Below are 22,665 nucleotides of genomic sequence, written 5' to 3' on the forward strand. Positions count from 1 at the left end.
ATTGGTGCATTTTATAGATTTTTAAGTATTTTTTTTCTTTTTTCTTTTTTCTTTTTCTTTTCTTTTTTTTTGAAACAGAGTTTGTGCTCTTCTTGCCCAGGCTGGAGTGAAATGGCACAATCTTGGCTCACTGCAACCTCTGCCTTCTGGGTTCAAGCGATTCTCCTGCCTCAGCCTTCCAAGTAGCTGGGACTACAGGTGCGTGCCACCACGCCTGGATAATTATTTGTATATAGTAGAGACAGGGTTTCACCATATTGGTCAGGCTGGTCTCAAATTCCTGACCTCAGGTGATCTACCCACCTCGGCCTCCCAAAGTGCTGGGATTGCAGGTATCAGCCACCACACCCAGCTGATTTTCTTTATATTTCAAGTCAGTCTTCTCTCTATCTGAGAGAACTTACCCCTTAACTAGTCCCCTGGCCAACTTCTATTCATCCTTTGTCTCAGCTTAGATGTCACCTCTTCCAGGAGGCCTTCCCTGACTTCTAAGTTTAAGGAAGGTTTCCTGTTAAGCGGACTCATGGCCCCTGGGGTCTTCCCTCATAACCCTCACGTGACCTGGCTGTACCTGCCTGCCCCACTGTGTTTCTGAAAGATCTGTGAGGGAAGGCATGGATGTGCCCTGTTTCCCTTTGTGTCCCAGTGACCACTGCAGATCCTGGAAAGGGTGAAGAGGGGAAAGGCCAGAGCCCACCCATCTGTGTCTTTTGACACTCCTTGTGCCGTGCCCCTTTCCAACTGATGGAAAAGCCCACCTTGTCCTTGTGGGGCGCTGAATTTCAAGGAATTTCCTGGTGGAAAGTATTTAACTCCCTCAAACGACTGTCAGAGACTGAAAGTGATCATCTGTGATGTGTTCGAGTCACTCCTGAGCTCCTCGAATCCTCCAATTGTTACAAAGTAATGGACTTGCTGCCCGATGTGAGTAGAAGCCAATATTATAGCACCACTTTTGCGAAAAGAAAAAGCTTTATTCCAAGTCACCTGGCAAGGAGACAGGAGACAACACTCAAATCTGCCTCCCTGATCCCTGGGTGGGTCAAGTTGTTATGGCACTGTTAACTAGTCCCAGGGATGCCAATGTGGCCGGTTGCCACGTTGGTGGTGCTAACTCTCAGGAGGTGGAAGTTTTCTCTGATTGCACCGGGCCAGGCTACATGACATGCAGTTTTGGCTCCGTGCCATCTGTAACAACTCAAGCAATGGTAAACTAGTTTGAGCTGGTCCTGTGGTTATGCAATCACCAGCACATCCCGGTCAAGACATTGTCCCCAGGCAGGCCAGAATCCCCAGGAAGCCTGGACTGGGTCACACCCTGCTTGTCGCCCAATCTCTCCAGAGGAGTGAGGAGGCAAGGGAGAATCTAGAAGCTCTGGAGTCTCAGTGTGTCTCCAGTTGGTTCCTGCCAGTGGGTTCATGGTCTCGCTGACTTCAATAATGAAGCCGCTGACCTTCGCAGTGAGTGCTACAGCTCTTAAAGATGGCACGGACCCAAAGAGTGAGTGGTAGCAAGGTTTACTGTGAAGAGCAAAAGGACAAAGCTTCCATAGCATGGAAGGGGACCCAAGCAGGTTGCCGCCGCTGGCTGGGGGTGGGCAGCATTTAGTCTCTTATTGGCCCCACCCATGTTCCATTTCTGTCCTATCAGAGTGCTCTTTTTTTCAATCCTCCCCACGATTGGCTACTTTTAGAATCCTGCCAATTGGTGTGTTTTACAGATTGCTGATTGGTGCATTTTACAGAGTGCTGATTGGTGCATTTTACAATCCTCTTGCTAGCTACAGAGCACTGATTGGTACGTTGTTACAGAGCGCTGATTGTGGCATTTTATAATCCACTTGCTAGCTACAGAGTGCTGATTAGTGCATTTTTACAGAGTGCTGATTGGTGCATTTTACAATCCCCTTGCTAGCTGCAGAGCGCTGATTGGTGCATTTTGCAATCCTAGCTACAGAGTGCTGATTGGTGCGTTTTACATTCCTCTTGCTGGACAGAAAAGTTCTCCAAGTCCCCACTCGACCCAGGAAGTCCAGCTGGCTTTACCTCTCAATCCCCGCTCTAAACAGGACACCCCAACTGCTGTTGAGAATTGGGTAATGACTGCTCTAGCTACTTCCTGCTGGATAGGGACAAAGAAGGGGCCCTGCAGTGGTAGTGTCCTCCAGAGGGGAACTCTCTGGGCCAAAGGGCCAGTGGGTCGATCCAGGGGTCCTCGGTAGAAGTTGTTAGTTGAGCTCATTTGGGGTTCCATTTTTAAAACCATCTATAGCTTGATGGCCTCAATCCTGGAGGAAACAAATTTGACAAGGAGGTCAAAAATACAGGGCCCGAAGGCAAATAATAGCAAGATGGCTGTCACGGGACCTAGAAAAGGGAGAAGCATGTCGCCCAACTCCAGAAGTGGGTATAAGAGTTTGAAAGGCATTGTCTGATTTCAGAAGCCTTTTCCTGTAAACACCGGGTGGTGTCTCATACTATCCCTGACAGGTTACTGTAAAAACAACACTCTTCCCCTAAGAAGGTACAGAGTCCTCCTTTCTCAGCAGTGAGGAGGTCTAGGCCTCAGTGGTTTTGGAGAGTCACTGCTGCCAAAGAGTCTATTTGGGACTGTAGAGTAAGGATAGATTTTGTTATTTCTTGCAAACTATCTTAGAGAGTGTGTGGTAGTAGGATAATGAAGTAGATACACTGGCTATTCTGGTTCCTGTAACAGTGGCCATTCCTAACCCTATAAGTAGGGGTATTAGTTGTATTGCTCTGCACTGACAGACTTGAGCTTTGAGGTGCACTGATAGGGTCTGATTTCCTGGGGCAATGTCAATGTTGGGACTTAGGAAGACTAAGGTGCAGGTGCCTGTCCAGTTGGTGGGGAGGCAGATATAGGTTGAAGTTCCACATAAGAAGAATATGCCTTGGCTGGGTACACAGAACTGGTTGTGTATGTTAAAAAGGTGTGTGAGTTTGTTGTTTTCATTTTCCCATACTCCTAGAGTACTTGCCAAGGTAGCTCCAGTGAGCGGCTGGAAAGGAGTGTTGGGAGCAAACTGAGTGGCTCCCTGTGTTCTATTTTACCATTGGAGAAAAAATCGTTTTGTATCTACTAGGAACCATTCAAGAGAGTGATTGAAATAGGGGATGAGAAGGCATTCACTAGTGGTGGGGGCGCTGCTGCAGGGGGTCCAGGGGTGAATGGTCATGCAGGGAGTATGTTTGCCATTATTAAACCTAGACTGTTTGTTAAGCAGGAAGGAGGTGATGATTTTTGGAGGCTCTGAGAAGCGGACAAGCCATCTGAATGGAGCTGTTTGGGTGAGTCGGAAGTTACTGTGATCAGTTGGGGCTTGAAGTTGTAGGGTGTAATTACACTGATGGGATAGTAGGTGCCCCAGGGGCAGTCCTGATAACAGGTTGCATTGGATGCATAAAGGGGCTTGGAAAGTTAAGACAGTATTCGTGGTTGCAGGGCCATGTATGGTTTTTTCATTGCTTGTGTAATAGGTTAGGTTGGAAATGTAAGAGTGTAAAAGCTGGATTGCGAAGCTTTGGGGAAGCCCAAATCTAGGAATTATTTCATGAATTAGGACTTTAACCACTTCCTGATCCTTCTCTGTCTTGCAAGGGAAGGCTTCTATCCAATTTGTAAAGGTTTCAACACAGACTAACAAGTATTGAAATCCCCTTGACTTAGGCATATGAGAGACGTCTAACTGCCAGTCCTCTCTGGGATGGTGCCCTATTCTTTGTTGTCCCAGAGGGGCCTTACGATGGGCCAAGGGATTATGCCTTTGGCACACATCACAGGCTTTGACTACTTGTCGGATGGTCCGGAGGAGATTTGGCCCTGTAAATAGGGATTTGGCCATTTGATGAGTGTTCTCAATACCCATATGAAAACTTTGGTGGAGGGTCTTAAGTATTTTCCACTGGCTGCCCTCTTCTGTCGTTAACCATCCCGAGGGGAGAAAACTATGCCCCCATGAAAGTCCCCATTCTGTTTCAGTCAGGGAATACTGGGGCTTAATCTCTTGGAGAGGGTTGTTCCATACCAAGGGTCCTTCTCTAGGTATTTCTAATGGGAGTTTCCACCTGGCAGCAATTTTGACCTCAGCGTCTGCCTGACGGTTTCCTTCTGCCTTTTCTCCTTCACCTTTTTGATGGCTTCAGCAGTGTAAGACTGCCACTTCCTTGGGGTCTTGCACTGCATGCGATAACTCCATGATTTTCTTGTGGTATTTAATGGGAGCTCCCCCAGAGGTTAGGAACTCCCTTTCTTTCCATATTGCAGCATGGGCATGTAGGATTAGATAAGCACACTTGCTATCTGTGTACACATTTATTCTTTTTTTCCTTTCCCAGTTCTAAGGCTTGGGTAAGTGCCACTAGTTCTGGTAACTGGGCGCTGGTCCCTAGGGGAAAAGGCTTACTTTCAAGTACTGTTACATCAGTAACTATGGCATAACCTGCCCTTTGTATCCCATTCTCCGCAAATGAACTTCCATCAGCATATAGGTTAAGGTCAGGATTAGCTAAGGGGACTTCCAAGAGATCCTCTTGGGTGGCATAAGTCTGGGCTGCAATTTGTTGGCAGTCATGCTCAATTGGTTCCCCATCCTCTGGGAGAAAAGTAGCAGGGCTGAGGGCCGCACAGGTGCATATTTGAAGCACCGGTCCCTCAAGGAGTAGCACCTGGTATCTAAGCAGATGGTTGTCTGATAGCCATAAATTTCTTTTGGCACCTAGTATGCCATTTACATCATGAGTAGTCCAGATGGTGAAATCCTTTCCTTGTATTATTTTGATAGCCTCTGATACTAACATGGCCACCACCGCAACTACCCATAAACAGTGAGGCCAGCCTTTAGCTACTACATCAATTTCCTTACTTAGGTATGCCACTGGTTGTGGGGTTATTCCTCGAGTCTGAGTAAGGACTCCAAGAGCTATTCCCACTCTCTCTGTGATGTGTAAAGAGAAGTTTTGTCCTCTGGGAAGGCTTAAGGCTGGAGCTTGTACTAGGGCCTGCTTTAAGGTTTTGAAGGCTGTTTCTGCCTCTGGTTCCCATTCTACTAGATGGCCCTCTGGGTCTCCTTGATTAGAGTATAGAGAGGCTTGGCCATCTCGCTGTATCTGGGGATCCATAGTTGGCAAAAGCCAGTGATCCCAAGGAACCCCTGCAACTGTTTTAATGTCTTAGGGTGAGGATAAGCCAGTATAGGCTGTATTCATTCTTTGCTGAGGGCCCTGGTTCCTCTGGCTAAGATTAGGCCTAGATATTTGACTTGTTGTAGGCAGAGCTGGGCCTTCAATTTAGATGCCTTGTACCCTTGATTAGCTAGAAAGTTCAAGATATCTAGAGTAGCCTGCTGGCATGAGGCTTCCAAACTGGTAGCCAAAAGTAAATCATCCACATACTGAAGGACCAGAGTCCCTGAACTTGAGAAGTGGCCGAGATCTTGGGCCAGTGCCTGACCAAACAGATGAGAGCTATCCCTAAACCTTGAGGCAAGACCGTCCATGTAAGTTGGGATGTGTGGTCTGTGGGATCCTCAAAGGCAAAGAGAAACTGGGAGTCAGAGTGCAGGGGAATGCAGAAGAAGCCATCCTTGAGGTCCAGAACAGTGAACAATTCTGCTTCCTCTGGTATTTGAGAGTAGGGTGTAGGGGTTGGGTACAGCTGGATATAGAGGAATTACTGCCTCATTGATGAGTCTAAGATCTTGCATCAGGACTCTCTGAGTGCCAGAGCTTCTGCCACCTGGATGTTTTCCTGGGCCTCCCCTTCTCCCCACCCCTGGTTCTCACCTGGACCTGTCTGACCTGTTTCCAGGTGCTTATACATTGCCACGACCACCATCAGATCAATGAAGGAGAAATCCCATCCACATGGCTGGGGCCCTCTTTCTAGAGTGTCAGGGGTAGGTAACCACCAGGGCAACAGCAGTGGTGGCCTGGGGAGAGGTGGAGGAAAGGAGTCATTAGTTTATTGCCAGAGATGCTGATCAATAAGACATTGACCTTCTTTTTTTTACTTATTTATTTTTTTTATTTTTGGAGAAGGAATCTTGCTCTGTCGCCCAGGCTGGAGTGCAAAGGTGGGATCTTGGCTCACTGCAACCTCTGCCTCCTAGGTTCAAGCGATTCTTCTGCTTCAGCCTCCAAAGTAGCTGGGACTACAGGTGTGTGCCACCTTGCCCAGCTAATTTTTTATTTTTAGTAGAGATGGGGTTTCACCATGTTGGCCAGGCTGGTCTTGAACACCTGACCTCAGGTGATCTGCCCCCTTGGCCTCCCAAGTGTTGGTATTACAGGCGTAAGCCACTGCTCCTGGCCTGACATGGACCTTCTTCTCATGAGGTTCACTGTCCACATGATATCCCTGTGAGCCTTTGGATGCATTTTCTCATTGTCATCCCTGTCACAGCTCAAAGATGAGCTCGTGCTCATAGTGTTACCAAAACACCATGGGTGCAGTCTAGGTCCTGCTGCTCCCCACACAGAAAGCCAATCACTGAGACACCAAGTATTGCCAAGGAAGACTTTAATCGAGTGCTGCAACCAAGCAGATGGGAGCTCAGTCTGAAATCCATCTCCCTGATTGACTAAAACCAGGAGTTTATACAGCAGAGAAGAAATGTAACAATGTATAAGAAAACAGGAACTGGCAGGACGCGGTGGCTCACGCCTGTAATCCCAGCACTTTGGGAGGCGGAGGTGGGCGGATCACGAGGTCAGGAGATCGAGACCATCCTGGCTAACGCGGTGAAACCCTATCTCTACTAAAAATACAAAAAATTAGCTGGGAGTAGTGGCGGGCGCCTGTAATCTCAGCTACTTGGGAGGCTGAGCTAGGAGAATGGCGTGAACCCGAGAGGCGGAGCTTGCAGTGAGCTGATATTGCGCCACTGCACTCCAGCCTGGGCAACAGAGCGAGACTCCGTCTCAAAAAAAAAATTATAAAATATAAAAGAAAACAGGAACTAGACAGGGGCAATGAAGCAATCATGGTGAATGAGGGGGTCTGGTATCTGGTACAGTAATCTGGTGGGTTTCAGTTCTTTGACACTTTTTTTTTTTTTGAGAGGCCCAATGGTCATTCCTTGCAGAAGGAACCCAGATAAAGCAAATATAAGTTTCAAGCTTTAAGACCAGAAGGGTCAATTTCCATGTTTGTCCAAAGAACAGTGTATGGGAGCATTGGGCTGGTTTCCATCTGAGCCTCATTTTCCAGATGGGAATGCAAAGGCACAGAGAGATTCAGAAATTTACCCGGGCCGGGCACAATGGCTCATGCCTGTAATCCCAGCACTTTGGGAGGCCAACCGGGGTGGATCACCTGCGGTCAGGAGTTCCAGACCAGCCTGGCCAGCATGGTGAAACCCCATCTCTACTAAAACTACAAAAATCAGCCATGCTTGGTGGCGTGTGCCTGTAATCCCAGCTACTTGGGAGGCTGAGGAAGGGGAATCACTTGATCCTGGAGACAGAAGTTGCAGTGAGTCGAGACCATGCCATTGCACTCCAGCCTGGGTGACAAGAGCGAGACCCCATCTCAAAAAAAAAAAAAGAAACTTACCCAAAGCCACGCACTTAGTAACTAAGCCAGCAGGCAGCCTCACTCCAGACACCCTTCTTCTTCTTCTTCTTCTTCTTTTTGTAAATTGTGGTATAGTTGGTGTATAGAATAGCATACAATGATGAAAAGAAAGAACTATACATTTGGCATATATCAACACAAATGACACTGTCAGGTGTGATGCCGCAAGATGTGGAAGTATAGATACAAGATGATGGTGTCGATATAAAGCTTAGAAATGAGCATGAACAGGCCCGGTGTGGTGGCTCACGCCTGTAATCCTAGCACTTTGGGAGGCCAAGGCAGGAGGATCATCTGAGGTCAGGAGTTTGAGACCAGCCTGGCCAAGATGGTGGAACCCCGTCTCTACTAAAAATACAAAAATTAGCTGGGCATGGCAGTGCACCCCTATAATCCCAGCTACTCAGGAGGCTGAGGTGGGAGAGTCGCTTGAACCCTGGAGGTAGAGGTTGCAGTGAGACAAGATCACACCACTGCAGTCCAGCTTGGGAAACAGAGCAAGACTCTGTCTGGAAAAAAAAAAAAAAAGAAAAAAAGAAATGTGCATGAACAATGCTATATATTGCTTAAGGACATACACACATATGAGTTAGTGAGCTGTGAAGAAATGCGTGGGACTAATGGCTGCCAAATTCTGTTCCTCTAGTGCATAGAGGCTGTGATTAGGGGAGGAAAGCGGGGCTCAGTGACGTGGTAATACATCTGTTAACCTGGTGGTGGGTACAGTAGTGTGGTTAGCAACGCTGATGCCCTACCCAGGCCCCACTCCTTTTGGTTGATTTTACTTTCAATCACTCTCCTGTGCCCCTCCAAGGAATCTGGCTGAAGCTGCCCCCCGGGGACGTCACCTGAGGTCACACCCTTGCTGGGTTTCCACTCCTTCTCTGTCTTCACTCCCCAACTTTCCCTCCACTTCCCCAAGGAGCACATCCTTAATGAACTCAACCTGAGACAGTGGAGAGAGCCCAGTCACCCATAAGCTGAGAGAGCAGAGCCCAGGCAAGGCAGAAAGGAAGGGGGACCCTATTGTTAGCCAAGTGTGGTTCAGGCGAAAGCCCCACAGTGCAGAGGGACAGCCACAGCTCAGAGGGCAGCTGAGGTGCTGGTTCTTCCCTGCAAAGGGCTCTCTAGGGACTCCTGCTTCCCAGGTCTGGGGCTTGCTCAGAAGTGGCCACAGCCCTTCCCAATACCCTCAGCCTCCCCTGGGGAGAGCCATGACCCAGGTGGCATTGTGCGACGTGTCAAATCTCCAAATGCTGTTGAGTCGTGACCCCATTCCCTGCTGGCTTTTGCAGTGGCTGAGATTCCCAAGGCCTTTCAAAGAGGCCAGATCCACCAGGCTCCTTGGAAAGGGTGTGAGGCTTCTTCCCAGGATGCTGGGTGCTTGTCACTGACCCTGGTGCTGAACAGATCTTCCTCGGGTGCCCAGAGGGTCGAGTTTGGCAGGACAATCCCCCCACCCCGACTGCAGGCAGGCTGCCAGACTAGGAGCAGAGGACTTCTGAGTTCTCAGTGACTTCTGTCACTACACCCTGAGGGGTGAACCTCAAATTTTCCCAATGTCATCAGGGGACCATAGACCTGCCTTTGAAGTAGCTTGGAAACAGGGACAGATGTTCCTTGGAAAGAGAGTCAGACTCTAGCAATGAATAAAAGGCACTCATTTACAAGGCTTGAGTGGAAGCTCAGAAGTCCTGGAGCCCAGGCATCAGAGAGACATTGAGACAAGTCCATTGGTAAGAGTGAGAGTAACAAGAAGGGTTTCTGCATTCTGCTTCAGGAACAACACCAGCCATTTATCCATTCACTCACTTAATCCAAAAACTATGTATTGAAGGCCTACCATGTGCCGAGATATATTCCATTAAAGAAAAGAAACAGAAACCTCTGTCCCATGCAACTTACATCCCAGTAGGATGGGGGTGGGGGTACAGGTGGGAGACAGATAGTAAACAGCAGACATAAGTAAGCGAATGGCCTAGCATGTCAGAGGATATAAGCATTTCAGCAAAAAAAAAAAAAAAAAAGAGCAGAGGAAGAGATGGGGATGGCATGCAATTTGACTTCACTGAAAGATGTAATCTAAACAAATACATATATATATTTATAATATATATAATATATATTATTATCTATAATATATATAATATATATTATTATCTATAATATATATAATATATATTATTATCTATAATATATATAATATATATTATTATCTATAATATATATAATATATATTATTATCTATAATATATATAATATATATTATTATCTATAATATATATAATATATATTATTATCTATAATATATATAATATATATTATTATCTATAATATATATAATATATATATTATAATATATATAACATATATTATATATAATATATATATTATAATATATATATTATATTATAATATATATTATAATATATATATTATATTATAATATATATTATATTATATATATTATATAATAATATATATATTATAATATATATATTATATTATATATATGTTATATATATTATAAATATATATTTTATATATATATAATATATATTTATAATATATATAATATATATTTATAATATATATAATATATATTTATAATATATATTATATATATTATAAATATATATAATATATATATATATATATTTTTTGAGATAGAGTCTTGCTCTGTTGCCCAGGCTGGAGTGTAGTGGTGTGATCTTGGCTCACTGCAACCTCTGCCTCCTGGGTTCAAGTGATTCTCCTGCCTCAGCCTCCCAAGTACCTGGGACTACAGGCACCTGCCACCACGCTCAGCTGATTTTTGTATTTTTAGTAGAGATGGGATTTCACCATGTTGGCCAGGCTGGTCTCGAACCCCTGACTTCAAGTGATCCACCTGCCTCGGCCTCCCAAAGTGCTGGGATTACAGGCGTGAGCCACCACGCCCGGCCTAAAAAAGTTTGAAAAAGGTGAAGGAGTGAGTCCTGCAGGTATCTGGGGACAACATTCCAGGCTGAAAGAACAGTCCGTGCAAACCTCCTCAGGAAGGAGCATGTCTGTCTGGTTGGTTTGAGGCATAGGGAGGAGGCCAGGGTGGCTGGGGCAGAGTGAACCAGGGAACCAGGAGATACAGGTGGGCAGAGAGCAGGGCACAGAACTCGCGGGGCCTCGTGGCTGCTGGAGGGTCTTGGACTTGTCCTCTGCGTGAGGTGGAGAGCCACGGGGACGTTCTGAACACGGGAGATTCATGGTCCCTCTGCTGCTGTGCTGAGAATACACTGTAGGGGGCAAGGATGGAGACAGGGAGAGCACCCAGAAGGCAGTTGTAGGAAGCCAGGGATTGATGCTGGTTTCTGGGTGTATTTGGAAAGCAGAGACATGAGCTCACCCAACAGATGGGAAGTTGGGGGCGAGAGGAAGAGGCGTCAGGGATAGCGCCCAGGTTTCTGGCCCTAGTAACCGGAAGGAAGGGGCTGGCAGAGAAGGAGGAGAGAGCAGGTGTAGGGGTGGGTGGGAATCAGAAATTCAGCTTCAGACTTGGGGGGTTGGAGCTGCCTATTTGGTATGGCGAGTAGGCAGCTGGACGTAGAAGGAGGCTGGAGTTTGCGAGAGAAACTTGGGAGTGGTTGGCATATAGATGATATTTAAAGTCAGAAACGTGTACTATTTGCCAGATATAAGCAGTAAGGCAGTTGATGCAAACCAAAGCCTTCTAATGTAATTATTGTTATTATTTTCATTTTGCAGCTGTAGAAACTGAGGCTCAGAGAGAAGTGACTTTGAGCTCACAGTGTCACCGCCTGCTGATGGGAGAGCTGAATTCAAAACCAGGTGACCTGACCTAGAGTCTTTGCTCCTAACCCCTCCACTGTGAGGTGACCCCCTCGCTGGATCTTTCAGGGCATGTGTTAGATGAGCGGTGGATGGACTTTGGATCAAGGGAAGATAATCCATACAAGAAGGGGACAGGAGTTTGGAAGCAGCAAACCAAGTCACAAAGTGAGGGGACGCACTGGCCCTCAAGAAAGCTCAATGTTGGGGAGCAGGGAGATGAGACTGAATAGGAAGGAGGGGCTAGATGGAAGGTACAGCTTCAAGATTGGCCTGAAAAGTTTTGACTGGATGGGGAAGGAAGCAGGGAGCCATTGACGGTTTTGGAGGAAGGGGGCATTACATGGTCAGGGCAGCCCTTGTGAAAGATCCACCACATGTGGGCATGCAGCTGATGAGGGAGGTGTCAGGAGAGACCAGAGAGGAAGAAATAGGCCCAGAAGTTTTTGAGACTCTCTGGGTGTGAAGGATGAGGGCTGAGCCAGTGGAGATGAGAAGGAAGCAAGGAAGCCAAGCTCCCACTGAAGACAGCGCTGGGCAGAGTCTCTGCCTGATGTAATGTGGGGGATGGAGGCGAGGAATGAGTCAAGGGCAAAGTTTCAGACTTGGGGGCAGATGGGGAGATGGGAAACAATGCTGGCTTGAACAGAAAAAAAGGAGGCTGGTGTGAGAGGGAACTCGGTTTTGCCCTTCTGGTACCTGGGGCTGAGTGAACCATAGCAGGACAGACTTCTGCTTCCCAGCAGCTCACAGGTTAGTGTGGGGGACAGAACTGCACAGAGCTGGCCAGGCTGCAAGGCAGAGAGAGCTGAGGGGTGCCACAGAAAGATGGGCCGGAAGGAGGAGTGTCCAGGTGGGTGTGTCTGATTAGTTACTGGTCAGGGCTGGAGACAGAGATTTAAGAAGTATTTATCAGGCCAGGTGCGGTGGCTCACGCCTGTAATCCCAGCACTTTGGGAGGCCGAGGCAGGTGGATCACGAGATCAGGAGATCGAGACCATCCTGGCTAACACGGTGAAACCCCGTCTCTACTAAAAATACAAAAAAAAAAAAAAATTAGCCGGGCATGGTGGCGGGCGCCTGTAGTCCCAGCTACTTGGGAGGCTGAGGCAGGAGAATGGCGTGAACCCGGGAGGTGGAGCTTGCAGTAAGCCGAGATAGCGCTGCTGCAGTCCAGCCTGGGCGAAAGAGCAAGACTCCGTCTCAAAAAAAAAAAAGAAGTCTTTATCCAGAGGTAAAAGATCTGGGGTAGATGATGTCAGGGAGGAAGGGAAGGTTGCTTGAGGCAAAAACAAAGTCTAGGACAGAAGCCCAGGCTTGCTCCTGCCACCAGCTAGCTCTGTGCCCATGAAGCAGATTTATTTTGTTGTTGTTGAAATGGAATCTTGCTCTTTTGCCCAGGCTGGAGCGCAGTGCCACAGTCATGGCTCAGTCGTGCACCACCATGATTGGCTAATTTTCATTTTATTTTTTTTGTAGAGACAGAGTCTCACTATGTTGCCCAGGCTGGTCTCAGACTCCTGGGCTCAAGCGATCTTCCCACCTCAGCCTCCCAAAGTGCTGGGATTACAGTGGACCAGTTGCTTAAACTACTCTGGTCAGTTCCTAATTTTCTCATCTGTAGAAACTAATAGTTCTTACTCCCTGAAGCTGTTGTGAGGACAAAGTAAACTAATAGACTTAACTGCTGAGATTCCCCTGCCCCAACACCCACCCCAGCCTATAGTGAGAGCTCAGGGACATTTCTGAGAAGAGGAGCTCACAGGGAGCTCAGGGAAGAACCATGTCCCAAATCCCAGTGGGAGGAGCATCAAGAAGGATGGTAGGTTCCCAGGGATGACAAGGCGATTCCCTGAGCCAGCTGGAGACTAGGAACTTTATAGACTTCATCTCAGTTAGTTTTCCAGGTCATACCATGAGGGAGTGTCTTATCATCACACCCATTTCACAGATGAGAAAACTGAAGTTCATAAAATCGCTGTTAGTCACACAACCAGGAACAAGTAGAAGAGTGACTGGGACTCAGGGCTGTAGGTAATGATTCCAGAGCCTCTGCTGGTAATCACTGCCCAATGTAAGGCAGTGGGAGGTTCAGGGAGTGGCTGGAGGGGATCAAGAGGCTCAGTGAGAGCACCTTTCCTAGAGCATCAGAGCTGGAAGCCACATTGCTGAGGATTAATTAAATCACAAGTGGGCAGAGAGGAAATGGTAGAGGGAAGTACAGACCACACATCGGAGCAGTTTGGTCATGAATGAAAGGAGAAATGGGAGGGCAGCATGCGAGGGTGTTGAAGTCAAGGGGAGGTCTTTATGGAAGTGGAGAGACAGGATCATGTTGTCAGCAGAGGGAAAGGGGGTCATGGGATTGGAGACAGTAAAGAGCTAGAAGATGGCAGTGCAACTGAGGGAAGGAGGCCCCTCTGGGATGAATAAAGGTTGAGATCCAAGCCACAGTTGAAGCAATATAGGTTTGGCAAAAAATGGCCACAACCACAAGGAAGTTGTAAACTAGATGGGGGAGGAGTCAGGGTGTCCTTGGTTAGATTCCTCTGCTTTATCCATGACAGAAGGATTCGGGTGTGTCTCATGAAATGATGGTACACACTGGTTTAAAAACTATTTGGATGAAGGAGGCCCTGGGATAGAATGTGAGTTGGGCCCATGTTGTAGTTCAGAATCTCTAAGTGACCATCCATCTATCCATGCATTCATGCATGTATATATCCATTCATCATCTATCAAGCCATGCACCCATACTTCTATTCATCCATCCAACCACACATCCATCTATCTAGCCATACATCTACACATACACCCACCCATCCATCAGTCCATCCATCTGCTCACCCATCCAGTTTCATGCATCCATCCATCATCCATCAACCCATTCATCCATCCTTCCATCCATCCATCATCCATCCATCCATCCATCCACCCATTCATTCATCCATTCATGTATCCATCCATTCATCCATCCGTCTGTCCATCCATTCATTCATTCATCTACCCATCCATCCATTTATTCTTTTACCATCCATCTACACATCCATCTACCCATCCGTTCATCCATTCATCTACCCATCCATCTATCTATTTATTCTCTCACCATCCGTCCACACATCCATCTACCATCCATCCATCTATCCATCCATTCTTCCATCCATCCCTCCATCCATCCATCTACCCATCCATCCATCTATTTATTCTTTTGCCATCCATCCACACATCCATCTACCATCCATCCATCTACCCATCCATTTATCCATTCATCTACCCATCCATCTATCCATCCATTCATCTACCCATCCATCTATCTATTTATCCTTTCACCATCCATCCACCAATCCATCTATCCATCATCCATACACACATCCACCCATCCATTTATCTACCATCCATCCATCCGTCCATTCTTTCATCCACCTTCCAGCCACTCATCCATTCATCACTCACCCACACGTCCATCCATCATCCATCCTCCATCCATCCATTCACTCATTTACCCATCCATATCCATTCACCCATTCATTCATTCACCCATCCATACAACCACTCACCTATTTATACATTCAGTAAACATATATATATTTTTTGAGACAGGGTCTCACTCTGTCGCCCAGGCTGGAGTGCAGTGGTACAATCATGGCTCACTGCAGCCTCAACTTTCCTGATGTAGGTGATCCTCCCTACTCGGCCTCCAGAGTAGCTGGGACAGGTGCACACTGTAACACCTGGCTATTTTTTTTTTTCGAGATGGAGTCTCACTATATTGCCCAGGAGGGAGTGCAGTGGTGTGATCTCGGCTCACTGCAATCTCCACCTCCCGGGTTCAAGCGATTCTCCTGCCTCAGCCTCCCGAGCAGCTGGGATTACAGGCACACGCCACCACACCCAGCTAATTTTTTTTTTTTGTATTTTTAGTAGAGACAGGGTTTCACCATGTTGGCCAGGATGGTCTCGATCTCCTGACCTTGTGATCCGCCTGCCTCAGCCTCCCAAAGTGCTGGGATTACAGATGTGAGCCACTGCGCCTGGTCATTTTTTTGCATTTTTTGTAGAGACAGGGTTTCACCATGTTGCCCAGGCTTGTCTTGAACTCCTGGGCTCAAGTGATCCACCTGCCTCTGCCTCCGAAAGTATTGGAATTACAGGTGTGAGCCACCAAACTGGCCTAATAAACATATTTTATTGAGCACCCACTAAGGTGCTAAGTCCTGGAGGGATAAGTTGGAACACAAAAGAGATCCTTCAAGGATTTTACAGTCTTTTGTGTGAGTCCCAACAAATAAACTAGCAATCACAATACAATATGAAGACAGCCAAGATGAGGGAAGTCAGTGAACTCTGGGGACATAGAGGAAGGAAGGAGTAAGGGTTCAAGCTGCACTCTAAAATAAGAGTAGGAGTGAAAGGAAGTGAGACGGGGGAACAGGAAAGAATGTTCCAGACAGGAAGAACAGCTTGTACGAAGGCTTGGGCATCAGTAAAGGCCCGGCATTTTCAAGGAACTGAAAGAAGGTCCATGTGGCTGGGACAAAATGATATAGTGGGTGATGGAGCTGGAGGAAAAAGTTGAGCCTGGAGAAGTAGGCAGAAATGTGGGCTTCGTCCTGAGAGTAACGGGGAGGCATTGAAGGATTTCAAGAGGGGAGAGCCTTGCTCAGACTTGTGTTTTGGAGATCAATGGGCTTTTGAGAGGAAGATGGACTGGACCAGGAAGGCCTGGAAGCTGGGGCATGAGTTCACGGCTGTGGTCCAGCAGAGAGATGGAGGAGGAGAAGGAGACGGATTCAGGACGCATGCAGGTAGCCAACTAACACACTTCGCTGATGGACTGGATGTGGGCAGTGAGGAAGAGCCCAGGGACAGAGATGACCCTTGGGTTTCTGACCTGAGGAACCAAGAGGACACCCTGTCAGGAACGACAGACACATCAATGGGCACGTCAAGTCTTTGGGACAGGGGATTGGGGCCTATTTTGGGGTCAGGGGTGGAAATACTATTTGGGACCCTCACATCTCAGCTGAGCTGGCCCCGATCCCTGATTCCCAGCCCCCTGGGCAGGGCAGGATGAATCCAGTTTCAGCTGTCAGCGATGGAGATGAGTAAACAAATGCTCAATCCTTACTGAGCTGCTCCGGGAGACCTCGGGCAAGTCACTGCCCTGATGAGCCTCAGGTGACACTGGTGTGACCGGGATGACACTTCTGCCTAGCTGCCCCCTCCTGGTCAGCCACAGCTGTCAAATGCAACTGAAGATGATGAAGAGCTGCCGCCCCAGCCGCTTGGCTGCCCTGTGACTGAGAGCATCCTGGTTCCGCCCACTGCCTCGGGGACAGGCTTCTCCACGAGCCTGGGCAGAGCCTGGGGTTGGGGCAGGAACCTTCCTTCCCTGTCTTTCAGGGAGAAGGACCCCATATCTGCCTGGCCCAGTGCCCTCTGGCTAAAGCCGAGTTGGGTGTTGCAGCAGCCCCTGGGGCAAGGGCGGCAGGTGCCTGGGTGGTGTGCCTGGCCACTTTAGTCAGAGGCGTTGAGACAAGGAGTTACCACAGCCGCTCCTCCCACTCAGATCCAATTACCCTTCACACTCTCCTAATAGGCCTAACAGTGTCTGGCCTGCTTCCCTGCCATGGCCCTTTCCCTTCCTTTGGCCACAGCACTCTCTCCCCTGCTGCCCCTCCACAAAGCTCTGCCTCACTGCCACTTCCTCCAGGGAGCATTCCTGATTGCCCTGACAGACCTCCAGGTCCTAGAATCCTCACAGCAGCATAAAGATCTCTCAAGATGCTTCTCACAGGCCCAGACTTCAGAATAGTTTGTCTGGAAGTTCCCTTGGCATCCATCCCATAGCCTGGGAGAACTGAGGAGGGATAAACTCGGTTAATCCCTGGAGAGGAAACCACCTCAAAAATGTCCCTGGTCCCCGCTGCCTCCCAAAGAAGACTGAGGCACACTGGGCCCTTTGCATCCATCTCGCCTTCCCTTCCTTCAGTCCTGTGTTTACTCGGTCAGGTGACACTGAAGGTTCACTGCATGCCAGGCACCATGCTTGGTGCTGGGGATGCCCACGGCGCGGGGCAAGGTAGACACAGCCAGTCCTCGTGTGACTGGCTCTTAGCCTTGCATTTAGGCAGTGCCCCATGCCGGGGTTTCATGCTGTTGCCCTAATTTATCTCTGCACATTCCCCTCTCTGCACCTTTGCCTAAACAGTGCCCCCTGTGCAATGTCCTTTCTTCCAATCTCAGTATGAATCTTATCTACAAAACCTAGCCCTAGGCCCTACAGCCACCTCTTTCAGGCAGCCTTCCACGAATTCTGGCCAGAGGCAGCATCTCCCCAGTCTATGCCCCAAAGCCCTTTAATCTCACCTGCATGTCCCTATGAGGGGTCAGGGCCTGTTCCCCCGCCCTTACCCACTGTGAAACCCCACAACAGCAGGGTCGGGCCTCTGTCCGCCCTGCAGCCCTGGGCACAGCCCCCAGAGGCTCAGCTGCCCCTGCCAGCCAGGCAGCCTGCACCAGCCTTGAACTGAACCAGAACCTTCCTAGTCCAGAACCTTCCACTGCTGCTTTCATGATTTGTTCCCCAGAACAAACAGGGGAATTTGGGTCCTTCTGAAGAAAGCTTTGAGTCTGCAGGAAAGCGAAGAGGACTCAGAACCCACCGGGGAGTTTCCCCAGTGGCCGGGACTGCAGCTGCTTCATCATTAATCAGGCTGCTCACTTGTTATTAATCAGCTGTCCCTTGCAGTTGTGTAGCACAGAAGAGCAATTGGTGGCCTCTGCGGCAAGTGGAGCCCCCACAAGAGGGCAGGCAGAAGCCACAGGGCAGAGTGCATGGAGGGCAGCTAGGGAGGGAGGGGTGGTCGGCGGAGGCGCCCCTTCCTGCCTCTTCCGAGGACCCAGGCCTGGTCCTGCACCTCTGGGCTCAGGCTCTGTCTCCAGGTCAGGGCTGCCCTGTGCCTGCACACCTTCCCCTGCCCAGCGCGGCCTCCTTTGCAGGGGGACTCTGCGGGGAGCTACTCTGAGGCTGCCCCTCCCTTTCTCTGGGATGTTGGCACCAAAGAGGTGCCCAGGCAGGAAGAGCAGCCTCCCCTCCCCCTCCTCTGCACGTGCAAATGGAAGACAGCCCTGGGCACAGGAGGGGTGGCTGGGGGCAAAGAACCCATCTGGACTGTGGCTTGAGGAGGGGGCAGGGTCAGGGTCTCTGGCAGCTGATGGGACCCCCAGAGAAGCAGAGGAATGTTGGTGCGAGGCCCACCAAGGGGGACCCCATCTTCCTGAGATCTACCGTTTTGGCAGAGCTCTGTGGGACAGACCAAACTTCCCTCTACAGGTGATGAGATTGAGGTCCAGAGAGGGTCTGTGAGCCGCCGGAGGTCATATAGAGGATGCTGCCCACAGAAAGATTCTGCCATGGGCAGGGAAGCCCCACTCCCAGGTGCGGAAGCAGCCACAGGCTCCCAGGCAGCCCTTGCTGAGGGGTGGGGAGAGGAGCGCCTGAGGCTCCTCCGAAGTCGAGGGTCTTTGTCTGGTTTCCTCTCATAGGATCCCTGCCCTTCTACCTAAGGACTGATGAGGTTAGCTCTGAGCGATGCTCCAGTAGTGTGGGGTTTCCACAGGTATCCCCAGAATCTAAAAACAAGAAACAAAAATCTCATGACAAATAGCGGCTGTTGCAGTTATCATGACAGTTAGTGAAAAACTTAGTAATGATTTAGTGATTAACACAGGGTGGACTGTGAGAGGGTGGAAGCCACCTGCGCCATGTTTTGGAGGGGCAGTGCTGTCATTTTGAGTTGGCCCTGGTCATGCAAGGACAGGATGAAGCCAGGCCAAGGTCCCCCATGTCACAATCAGAGTCCAGGTGCTGCCCTGCCTGGAGCTGCCCTTCCCTGGTGCTGCCCACCTGAAGGCCATGGGACTCTCATCCTACTGTAGGGACGCCCATGCTGTGGCTCCCGGGAGCCCCAACAGGGCGACCGGCAATTTCCTCGGGTGGCCAGGGGACTGACCCGCATGCAGTGATGCTGTGGCCTGGGGCTGAGACGCTAGAGTCACAGAGAAGCCAGTTCACCAACTTTATCAACCTCATTATTGCAATTCTTGTTTTATTCCTGCCCCCACTGGAAAGTGGACTTACGTTCTGTCATCTGCCATGCCATGAGCTGGGGTGCCTGGAAAGTCAGCTCAGGGCCTGGCTCAGGCTGGACCCTGACCAGGCGTCCAGTACTGACTCCGGGACACAGCTCTGCTAGAAGTGAGAAGCAGCATCTCCCACTGACCCCTTCGTTTTGTTCTGTATCTTAGTGTAAGGCATCCCATTTAGGGGAACGTGGTTTCCTGAGCTATTTGGACTGAATCGAAGCACCGTTGGGCTCTTGCCTCCTGTGGTCAGGGCCTCACCTGGGATGGGACACCAACCAAAGCTGCTCTGTGCCCTGGCTGGGCCTCAGCCTCTCGGAGGCAGATAAAGCATGGATCTCCCTGCAGAGTGATGCCCATGTGCCCATGCCCGGCAGCCAGGGTGGCCCTGGCAGCACCCTGAAGCTCACTCATGGTCCAGGAGCCCATGGGCCCATGCCCGGCAGCCAGGGTGGCCCTGGCAGCACCCTGAAGCTCACTCATGGTCCAGGAGAAGAGCTCTGCTTGGTTTCTGCCTGGTTGACTCCCCGACACTTCCGTCTGCCCCCTGCTCAAGCCACCATGCATGAAGGATGCTCTCCAGCTACAGAGAGATGAACCCAGCTGTGCGTGGAGGCTTTTCAATTCTAATAGAGGAACCAAGAAATGTCCCCTTTGAAAGGAGAAGTGTGTCACTGCCATGGGCTCTAGACACATGTACCCCACCTCTGTCTCCAGTTGAGTGCCCATTCTCTGGAAATCCACAAACATTCCAAGAGCTAGACTTCTCCTGAATCATCTCAAATTCTTCGAACTTCACTGGTCTAGGGAAGGATGTGAGGAGGTGACAGAGGGGCGGGGCAAGACCCCCAAAGAGGTTAAATAGGTCACTGCCACCCTCGACTCTCAGCAGGGTGTCTCCCTGAGCAGAGGGACCTGCACACAGAGACTCCCTCCTGGGCTCCTGGCACCATGGCCCCACTGAAGATGCTGGCCCTGGTCACCCTCCTCCTGGGGGCTTCTCTGCAGCACATCCACGCAGGTGAGAGCAGGGGACAGGTGGCCAGGGGCAGGCACCGGGAGGACAGGGGTTGGGGGCATGAAGACCACCACAGCAATACACACGTTTGTGTATTATTTACACCCCACCTACTCCCACAAAAGACGTGAGAAGCCCACAGCACTAGGATTTTGAGGGAAACAAGCAGAGAAAAATGTTGATGATGACGATGCCCCAGCTCTTGCGGGTGGGCTTGGTGAGGACCAAGGCGAGCACATCTTGGGCTGCAATGGCCGTGAGGTGGGGGCTGTGGCTGTAGTTGTGCAATGGAAAATGAACAATTCTCAAAATTATTTATTAGCTTCTGTTTTATTAACAGGTTTTATGCACAATGAGGGAATCAGCATAAAGATAGGAGAATTGTTTCCAAGAGCATGTAAAAAAGGATTCTTTTTTTTTTTTTTTTTTTTTTTTTTGAGATGGAGTCTTGCGCTGTCGCCCAGGCTGGAGTGCAATGGTGTGATCTTGGCTCACTGCAACCTCTGCCTCCCGGATTCAAGCGATTCTCCTGCCTCAGCCTCCCGAGTAGCTGGGAATATAGGTGCCCGGCCACCACGCCACCAATGGGTTTTCACCATGTTGGTCAGGCTGGTCTCGAACTCCTGACCTCAGGCCATCCACCCGCCTTGGCCTCCCAAAGTGCTGGGATTACAGGCATGAGCCACGGCGCCCAGACTGAAAAAAGAGATTCTTATATTAGGTTGGGAAAGGAAAAATGAAATAAGGTTGCCAGGTATAGACATACAGGGACGCGCACAGATGCACAGAGACACACACGTAGGCACTCACAGGACACACAGAATCCCCCACAGACACACAAAACATGCACACCCACAAACACACGGGACCCCACAACATACACAGAAGCCTCACACACACCTGTGTATGGTAACACACAGACACACACACATACACATAGGCAGTGATACACATGCAGTCATCACACACAGATGCACACATGGACACGCACATGCAGATCTTCCACGAACACCCCCCAGAGGTCCCCGCAACACACACGCAGACACTCACAGACACCCCTGCCCCGCTCCTCTCCCTGCAGCTCGAGGGACCAATGTGGGCCGGGAGTGCTGCCTGGAGTACTTCAAGGGAGCCATTCCCCTTAGAAAGCTGAAGACGTGGTACCAGACATCTGAGGACTGCTCCAGGGATGCCATCGTGTAAGTCCCCCTGGCTCCACCCCTGCTCCTCAGGGCCAAGCATGGGGACAAGTGCACCCTGGAGCTCCCAGGACGGCCAATGGGGAGCAGGGAAGAGACAGCGGGGCCTTCCTCCCCAACCCCTGCAGGCTCCCCACACTGTGGGACCCAAAAGGGCCGCAGGCCATGAGGTCCAACCTATTCCTTGATTTGTGGTGAAATTGAGGCCCCGGGAGCAATGAACACCCCCAGGTCACACAGCTGGTCAGGGGCAATGTGGTCACCTCCCCCAGCCTGGGCCTGAGCCCTGCCCGCAGTCTCCACGTCCCAGGCTCTAGACTGTCTGGGGGCATGGGCAGGCTGAGGGGTGGGCACAAGTTCCTGCAGCCCTGGCTCCCTGGGAGGGTCGAGATTACTCGGGACAGAGCCTGAAGTCCCAGATCTGCCACCAATGCCCTGTGTGACAGCAGCAACTTCCTGCCCCTCTTGGAGCCTTGGAATCCTGGTCAGCACAGGGCGGGCCGTCCCAGGGACTCTGGGGGCCCTTCCCCCCCTGCCACTCCTGGTAACGTCCTCCTTCTGTGTAGTTTTGTAACTGTGCAGGGCAGGGCCATCTGTTCGGACCCCAACAACAAGAGAGTGAAGAATGCAGTTAAATACCTGCAAAGCCTTGAGAGGTCTTGAAGCCTCCTCACCCCAGACTCCTGACTGTCTCCCGGGACTACCTGGGACCTCCACCGTTGGTGTTCACCGCCCCCACCCTGAGCGCCTGGGTCCAGGGGAGGCCTTCCAGGGACGAAGAAGAGCCACAGTGAGGGAGATCCCATCCCCTTGTCTGAACTGGAGCCATGGGCACAAAGGGCCCAGATTAAAGTCTTTATCCTCAGTCTGTGTCAGCGTGT

At 49.9% G+C, this 22,665-nt stretch overlaps 1 protein-coding gene across 4 annotated transcripts, besides 2 other annotated features; it reads left to right on the plus strand.

Annotated features, from left to right (window-relative positions):
- The first annotated feature begins 2,678 nt into the window (after window positions 1-2,678).
- Window positions 2,679-22,649, plus strand: CCL17 (C-C motif chemokine ligand 17). 4 transcript variants are annotated; one of them, XM_017023530.2, is made up of 6 exons: window positions 2,679-2,954; window positions 3,249-3,312; window positions 11,339-11,422; window positions 20,457-20,588; window positions 21,667-21,784; window positions 22,351-22,649. In XM_017023530.2, exons 3-6 carry the CDS (start codon window positions 11,398-11,400, stop codon window positions 22,445-22,447), a joined length of 372 nt encoding a protein of 123 aa, XP_016879019.1. In that variant the 5' UTR covers window positions 2,679-2,954; window positions 3,249-3,312; window positions 11,339-11,397; the 3' UTR covers window positions 22,448-22,649. The 4 variants fall into 4 exon arrangements, with proteins under 4 accessions (XP_016879019.1, XP_011521558.1, NP_002978.1 ...); XM_011523256.3 differs by having other exon boundaries at window positions 20,460-20,588; NM_002987.3 differs by lacking the exons at window positions 2,679-2,954; window positions 3,249-3,312 and having other exon boundaries at window positions 11,353-11,422; window positions 20,460-20,588.
- Window positions 7,006-7,055: an enhancer, noted in NCBI's record as "active region_10894". NCBI's record gives its function as "activates an Ori minimal core promoter by ATAC-STARR-seq in GM12878 lymphoblastoid cells {active_cell/tissue: GM12878}" and the evidence as "EXISTENCE:reporter gene assay evidence [ECO:0000049][PMID:35858748]".
- Window positions 20,444-20,493: an enhancer, noted in NCBI's record as "active region_10895". NCBI's record gives its function as "activates an Ori minimal core promoter by ATAC-STARR-seq in GM12878 lymphoblastoid cells {active_cell/tissue: GM12878}" and the evidence as "EXISTENCE:reporter gene assay evidence [ECO:0000049][PMID:35858748]".

The sequence above is a fragment of the Homo sapiens genome, chromosome 16 (assembly GCF_000001405.40).
Source record: "Homo sapiens chromosome 16, GRCh38.p14 Primary Assembly".
Taxonomy (NCBI): Eukaryota; Metazoa; Chordata; class Mammalia; order Primates; family Hominidae; genus Homo; species Homo sapiens.